This window comes from Homo sapiens, chromosome 1, assembly GCF_000001405.40.
Source record: "Homo sapiens chromosome 1, GRCh38.p14 Primary Assembly".
Classification (NCBI taxonomy): domain Eukaryota; kingdom Metazoa; phylum Chordata; class Mammalia; order Primates; family Hominidae; genus Homo; species Homo sapiens.
The window spans coordinates 110112443-110120290 of record NC_000001.11 but is presented as its reverse complement, the minus strand read 5'-3'; the positions used below and the strand labels follow the sequence as shown (position 1 = coordinate 110120290).

The 7848-nt window shown below is 51.5% G+C and overlaps 1 protein-coding gene across 1 annotated transcript, besides 1 other annotated feature; it reads right to left on the bottom strand.

The window, feature by feature from the left end:
• Positions 3470-3764: a silencer, noted in NCBI's record as "tiled region #1498; K562 Repressive DNase unmatched - State 12:CtcfO". NCBI's record gives its function as "represses a minimal TATA promoter and a strong SV40 promoter by Sharpr-MPRA in K562 cells {active_cell/tissue: K562}" and the evidence as "EXISTENCE:reporter gene assay evidence [ECO:0000049][PMID:27701403]".
• On the bottom strand, positions 6344-7848 carry UBL4B (ubiquitin like 4B). Its single transcript, NM_203412.2, has one exon. The coding sequence runs from the start codon at positions 7754-7756 to the stop codon at positions 7232-7234; it is 525 nt and encodes a 174-aa protein (NP_981957.1). The 5' UTR covers positions 7757-7848; the 3' UTR covers positions 6344-7231.

The following is a 7848-nucleotide window of genomic DNA, read 5'->3' as shown; positions in this document are numbered from 1 at the left end:
ATAAATGGTAGTGAAGAGGTACAAGAAGAAAAGCAAAAAAGACAGAGAAAGGAGAAAGGTGACCCAAGAGGGGAGTAGGGTGAGGCAGCTGGCAGCGAGCACCATCTGCCCCAGAGGGCACCAGGAAATGGGCTTGGCAGCTGGCTGGGAGCACCATCTGCTCCAGAGGGCACCAGGAACTGGGCTTTGCAGCTGTTCATGCCTCAGCTGCCTCCATGAGTTCCAGCTGGCTCGGCAGCAGGAGCCAGGGCAGCCTGCCCTCTGGCCACTCCCCTGCCACAGGCTAGCAGCACCCAAGTCCAGCCCAGAGCACAGGGAGAGTGAGCCAGGCTGGAGCAGGAATCAGGAAAGCAAACATGCCACCTTGGAGAGTTCACACAGAGAAGGCGGTCTCTGCCCTCAGACATACATGGGCTGATGTGCATGTGCAGGTACCCTTGAAAGCCTGCTGGAAACCAATGCACGAATGTGTGCACACATGCATCCATCTCCATATGCTTGGGGACCTCCCCGCATACTCTTATGAAAACTCCTGTCCTGACTACATGATGCATCACTTGAAGATAGCAAAGGAGGTCCAGGTGACCTCTTCCTGAAGCCCTAGCAGTTCCTGAACTTGGCTCTGTAAAGTCTCCCTTTTCTATCCTTGAATTTGCTCTGTGAGATCTTCTGGCTGGACTGCCTGGGCTGGGCTGGGTCAGTGGGGCTCTAACAGCCTAAAACCCAAAAGGCAAGGTCTGGACCACTGACACCATAAGTGCCGCTGAGAGTAAAGCTCACTGCGGCAAACCCGGCTCTGCCACTGTAGACCCTCACGCTTCGGGTTTGAGGTGTTGGGAGGGGTTGTCTGTGTGTTTGTGGATACGTGCCTTGGGTGTGTCCATATGTCTCTGGGTGTCATGAGGCATCCAGCAAGGTCATATGCTCGGCATGTTGAGCCAAGTAACAATTCCCCAGGTGTAAATGTGGGCCCCTGGGTGTCAGAAAAAGCAACTTGGTAGTCACCAGCTCAGATGCTACCTTGAAGTCTACCTGACCACATCTGAGAGCAGTCCCTCCTCATCTATGCTATATTCCCACAGCTCCTGGGCCGTGGACCACTTCAATTGGTTTATGATTCATGGTTTTGTACATACAAAATTATATAATGACATAATCAACACCTACTGCAGTGGAAAGAATATAAGGAGGGCCCCTGTGATCTCCACCTCCTGGCATCCAAGCCTTTGTATAAACCCCTCCCTCTGAATGTGGGCAGGGCCTGTGACTCGCTTCTAACTAACAGAACTGGCAAACGTGGTGAGGCATCACTCTCATGATTACATTATGTTGTAGAAGACTTGGCCTTGCCAGCTAACTCTAGAAATTCTCTTTGCTAAAGCAGGCAGTCATGCTAGAAAAGCCCACATGGCAAGGAACTGCAAGCAGCCTCTAGGAACTGTGGGTGACCTCCCACCAACATCCAGCAAAAAGCCCAGGCCCTCAGTCCCACAACTGCAAGAAAATCAATTCTGCCAACCACAGGAATTTGGACGCCAATTCCTCCCCTGCCAAGCCTCCAGAGGAGAACACAACCCGGTCAATATCTTCACGGCAGCAGCCTAAGACCCTAAGCAGAGAACCCAGGTAAGACATGGCACTGAAGTGTGAGATAATGCGTGTTGTTTTAAACTGCTGAATTTGCAGTACAGTTGACCCTTGAACAACATGGGTTTGAACTGAGTAGATCTGCTTATACTTGGATTTTTTTCAACCAAATGCAAATTTAAAATACAATATTCACAAAATGCAAAACCCACGTATACAGAGGGCTGGCTTTTTGTACACCCGACTTCCTCAGGGCCCACTTAAGTATGTGTGGATTTGGGTATAATGCAGGAGAGGGGGTGTGGTTATGGAACCAATCCCCCATGTATACTAAGGGATGACTGTAGTTCATTGTACAGTAATAGAAAACTAATACCCATGTACCCACCACTTGACACAATACACTTTATAATTGAAGCCCTTGTAAAAGTTTCCTCGGTTGCATTTCCCTTCCTACCAAACATTTATTAATGTTTTCTTAAGCATGTATCCCTAAATAATATCTATAATGTTGTTTTGTATGATTTTGAGCTTCATATTTCATTACAAAAATGTATTTATATTGTCCATGCTATTTGGTAGCAAGTCATCCTGACCATCCTGCCATTGTCTATCTTCATAATAAATGGCCATCCCTGATGTGTGTTCAAGGCCTCACAGTGCCCCCGTGAGAGCCAGCTCCTGTTGCTTTTCCCCAGCCTGGGGCATCAGCAGCTCCTGTTCATGACTTCACACCATCACAGAACCTTAGTGTCAGAAGGTACTTTAGGGGTCAAGTCCAATTCCTTCTTCTATTTTGAAAATGAGGGAGTCTCTGGTCCGGAGATATGAAGTGACTTGACTTGTCCAAGGCTCAAGGCAAATAGAAGAGCCAATACTGGGTCCCAGGCCCCTGTCCAGTGCAAGACTTCCTACACTGGGATCTCTGGCTGTCAGAGTGCACCTACTCAGGGGACAGTCTGATCATTCCATTTCACAGCTGGTGCTTTTGTCAAATTAGTCCTGATGTGAAGACCTAGACTCAGTACTTCTGGACTTCCATTTGCAGTGACTGTCTCACTAATGGGGCCACCCCACAGTATGAAGAATTCAACAGTTTTAGAACTGCGTCCAAGAGAGCTTACTGCATTTATTATGGCGTCAATATTTTTCATTTAGCAAAAGCAAAGTGGTGTTCAAGCTAAGTCCCAGATACAGAAATAGAAACTGAACTGGGTGCAGTGGCTCACGCCTGTAATCTCGCACTTTGGAAGGTCAAGAAAGAGGACTGCTTGAGGCCAGGGGTTTGAAACATAGGCCTGGTCAACATAGTAAGACCATCTCTACAAAAGAAAAATTAAAAAAAATTATCTGGGCATGGTAGTGCACACCTGTAGTCCCAGCTACTCAGGAAGCTGAGGTGGGAGGATTGCTTGAGCCTGGGAGTTCAAGGCTGCTGCAGTGAGCCATGATTGCACCACTGTACTCCAGCCTGGGCAACAGAACAAGACACTGTCTCAAAAAAAAAAAAAAAAAAAAAAAAAAAAAAGCTGACATTCTACCCCTGGTCCTTGCCCATTACAACATCACCTCTCCCAGCACAGAAGGAAGATTCCCAGAACCCGCCCATCCTGTCTGTTTACATCTCAACACAATGTCACCATGTCTTCCCTCAGGCACCTCCACTGGACTCTGCTGTTTTTCTGAGGAGGCGCAGCACTGCCCTCCACTTCCTTCTACCCATGCCTCTCTTCCCCAGTTTAAAATGGCCGGAAGCTTTATATGATAACTAAAATCTCACTTAATCCTGAACAAAGGCTGATGGAGGGGAGCAAGTCGGAGTGGAAGGAGGGGAGAGGACTGGATTTGCTTCTAAAATCAGCCGTCCGGGGTTTCTGGAGCCCTGGAACATTGAAAGCTTCTTCCACATCTGCAAGACTTCATCCTGACACACCACTGCCTGCCCCATCTTTCAGGACTAGTGGTAAAAGCACCACAGCTACCTACAAACACATCACCGCATCCTAATTACAGGCCGACACTGGAGGTCAGGGGTTTCCAAAGCCCCTCTGCTGCACCATGCTGCAAGGGACAGCAGGGGGCGCACTACTCTCGGTCCAGGAGACAGGACTCCTTGTCTACCAGCCTAAATCTCAGCACAAAGCCTGCCACATGGCAGGATGCTGTGGTCTGAATGCTGGTGTCCCCCAAAATTCACATGTTGAAACATAATCCCCAGTGTGGTAGTATTAAGAGATAGGGACTTTGGGGGAGTGATTAAATCACAACGGCTCGTCCTCATGAATGGGATTAGTGCCTTTGTAAAGGAGATTGAGGCCAGGTGTGGTGGCTGACACCTGTAATCCCAGCACTTTGGGAGGCCAAGGTGGGCGGATCACTTGAGCCCAGCAGTTTGAGACCAGCCTGGGCAATGTGGTGAAACCCTGTCTCTACAAAAAATACAAAAATTAGCTGGGTGTGGTGGTGTGAACCTGTAGTCCCAGCTACTCGGGAGGCTGAGGTGGGAGGATCACCTGAGCCTGGGAAGTCAAGGCTGCAGTGAGCTGAGATCGCGCCTCTGCACCCCAGCCTGGGTGACAGAGGGAGACCCTATCAAAAAAAAAAAGACTGCAAGGAGCCTGTTTGTCCTTCTGCAATGTGAGGAAACACAGCAGGCGTTGTCAGTGAGGAACAGGTCCTCACCAGACACCACATCTGCTGGCACCCTCCTCTTGGAAACCCCAGCCTTCAGAACTGTAAATGATAAATTTCTGTTGTTTGTAAATTACCCAGTCTAAGGTATTTTGTTATAGCAGCACAAACAGACTGAGACAGAGGCCCATATATGTTTATTGATCGAAAAGCAAAGGACTGACTAAATAGCACATGGACCAGGATGCTCTGCCTATTTCTATCAGAAAGACTATTTTGCCATGGACCAGTGGACTGAGGGGTGTTGGCCTGCAGGTGACCCAGGAAGAAGCTGGGATGAGAAGCTAGATTTCTCTGTGGATAGAAACACGAAGCTGGCTACTGGATGTGGTGGCTGTCCTGAAATGCCCCCAACATGAGCAAAATTGTTACCTGTAGGTAGGTAGGGGAGAGATGCCGTGGGGAGTTAGGGGAAAGAGTTTCTGCCCAAGGCTGAAGTTTAGAAAAAGTGCCTTCTCCCTAGCGAAGCAGAGAGGAAATAGGGAGCCTTCAACAGGTGCACTGGTACAGGCTTCAGTTTGAAATAGGGCAAAACTAGGCAAAGTGAGGGGTCCCATGGCAGGCAGCCCAAGAGCTAGTGTTCTCAACACAGATGAGATCCAAACCCATCGCTGGAGTATTAGGGGTTGATCCTGCCCCAGCCCCTCAAATACACTCCTAACTTCTGTTCTCTGATGACTATAACAACATCCTTTAGGGGACAATGCCTGTCACCCCACATTGAGAAACACAGCACTGAGTAAGACCATTCCTGGGAGTGGTGACAAATAGGTGCAAGTTCCTGCTAAGTTCCAAGTGACAGTGCATTCTCTCCTGCTTTTGAAGGGAGGAACAGGGGCAGGAGGGCCCTTGGGATGGGGGAAGTCGGTAGTGGGAGGTGCATGGAAGAGCAGACCAACTTTCCTTCTTCCCCGTTTGGGATTGGAGACATCCTCCCCTGCAGTGCTGGGGACAGACAGTGGAGGTGGCTGCCTCCCCTGGCCTGCTCTCAGCCAGCCCTGATACTCCCACTAACTAGAGAGAAAACAAAGGCTTCCCCTGTCCTTCATGCCAGCTTCTCTCAGTAAAAGGAATAAAACGGCCCACTTATTTTTATCGCTCACGGATTTCCTGGGAAATGGGCTATTAGTTCCCCTAATGTAAAGATAATAGGCTCATCTCCCTTGGCAAATGGTACAGCCCCAGCATGAAAACACTCACAGAACTGTCAAGAGGGCTCCCCTGCTGAGGATGCAGGGCCCAGGAGCAGGACCAGGACAGGAACCAAGGAGCAGGCTTGAGCCCCCTAAACCCCAGCCTGGGAGTGCTGGCTGCAGCCAGTGCGTGCTGGGTCCTTGGTACCCCAGGGAGAGGTCATTAGTCTCCTCAGAGCCCCTAGTTTGCTCTCTTGGCTGGGACAGTGGGTGGGGCACTGGGAAAGGAGCTGGGTCATAAGCTGAACGAGGTTGTCTTATTCTGCGAGGTGAGGGAATGACCACTGCTAAGCAGGCTCCCACAAACAGAATGCTTTCCACATCCATCCTTGTCACTGCCGCTGAGCCCACCACTAGAAGACATCCCTCCCAGTTGGACAGTCTTTGCCTCTAACCGTCACCAACACTCATGGGGTAAGTAGATGCTGTTATAAGGATGCCCATGCAACAGGTGGGAAACCTGAGCATCAGACAGGAAAAGCAGGTTACCCATGGCCACACAGCTGGACTCGGACTGGAAGAGAGGATGAGGGGCCCTGCAGGCCAAGGACAGGATGCTTCCTAGGGAAGGGGGCCCTGCTTGTTCAAGACATTCTCCTCCACCCCTTCCCTCCATCCCCATCACTCAGGACTGAAACTTTTGCAATAACAGCATTTCAGGGGCTTCAGCAGTGAATGGGGGACCACAGCTCCCCACTCCCTCCCACTCACACACAGAGTGTGGGGACTCCTCAGCCTCTGCAAGGGCCACTCTCTCACTCAAAGAACAGAGTAAAGGGCCTGGCTTTCCTCGTAGTCTGCAGGGGACTGGCCCCTCTATGCTGAACCCAGGGCCCCGTGAGGCCCCGTGCATTCAGTCACACACACTAGACTCTAGTTTCATGTCACCACTTTACTTTTCACATGTATAGCAGCTCTCTGCATCTAGGCTGCGTGCTCTGTGAGGGCAAGGATCCTCATTGACAGATACCATTTTTCCTTCCAGGGAGCCTTGGGCAGCGCTGGGCAGGTAATGTGAGCTGTGATACCTACTGACTGATCAGTCTGGGAGGGTGGGGCATGGCTCTGTTCACGCTGGCCACAGGGAGTGTATGACTTTGCTGAACTTTTTTTCTGCCTGAGGCTCAGTTTCCTGCTATTCTTGGTCTGTGTCTGTCTCCCTGAGGGCTCCAGGGCTGGCACCCGGTACGTGCCCTCCTCCCACTCTCACCTCTGCTGTGCCTGTCCCTTAAGCTGGAAGCACAAGCAGGAGAACAGCAGGGGCAGCCTCACCCAGAAGGCAAGGGGCAGCTACCTGACATTCCTCTCCTCTTGGCTGCTGGGGAGCCTAGGGGAGATGTCACGGTCTGAGGATGGAGGAAAATGAACTCACATTGTCTTTCTGTCCCGAAGGAGAAAGAGGGTCTGCCTAGAACCATGGAGACCCTGGGCCAGGGCTGCTTTCAGCCTGGGGAGCTGCTGGGTATGTGTGGGCAAAGCTGCCAGCACAGGAGGGGACTGTGGCCTTTGGGGCTGCCCTCCGGTGATCAGAACCCTTCTAGGGGAAGCATGGTGATGAGGGTTGGTTCACTCTGCATTTCAGAGGGAGGACCTCAGGCCCAAGAGGGGACAGGGATCCAAAAACCCTCCAGCTGCTTGGAAGGTTCAAAAAGGGGTGTGGACGCATCCACATCAGCAGGAAGTAGTAGGAAAAGTCACCAGGGAACACGTAAGGATGAGGCCGGGAGAATTTTAGCATGCAAATGGGTAGGATGGCCCGTTTACTGATCAGCTGCTGCCTCCTCCTTCTCCTCCATGTCACAGGAGCTCTGAGGCCGTGCCTTCGCCTCAAGCTCCCTCTCTCCAGCTGGCTCCACGTGAGGCTCCTCTGCCAGGAGGTACTGGGCCAGCTGCTCCAGGTGCTCCAGGCTTATCTTCTGCAGGCGCTCCTCGTGCTCCTGCCTTAGCAGCTGCAGCACGGCCTTGGCATCCTGTGGTTCAAAGTGTTTAGCTAGGACCAGTCCCAGCTGGTGCCACAGGGGCTGGGTCTGCGGCTGGTGGGCCTCCTTTAGCGCCATCTTCTCCAAGGGCTGCATGATGACATTGATAGAGGCATTGGGCCCAATGCAGTAGTCAGAGAGGTGCTTGTCATCCTCCAGGAGCTGGCCACGGAAAAGCAGGTGCTGCTGCTCCTCAGGCACCTTCAGCCGCCTGGACACCAGTCTCTTCAGCGTGGCTACACTCTCTTGCCCTGACACCTTCAGACTGCATCTCTGGCCCAGGAGCAGCTTGACTGTGAGGAACATCGGGCTGAGTGGAATCAGGAGGGATCCATGCTCTGGGAGCTGCCCTGAAGATTAGGGGGTCCTGCGGGAGATGTTGGCTTCTCCCTATCAAC

Coding starts and splice junctions, on each gene's coding strand:
- UBL4B (NM_203412.2), bottom strand. CDS start 7,756: ATGTTCCTCACAGTCAAGCTGCTCCTGGGCCAGAGATGCAGTCTGAAG.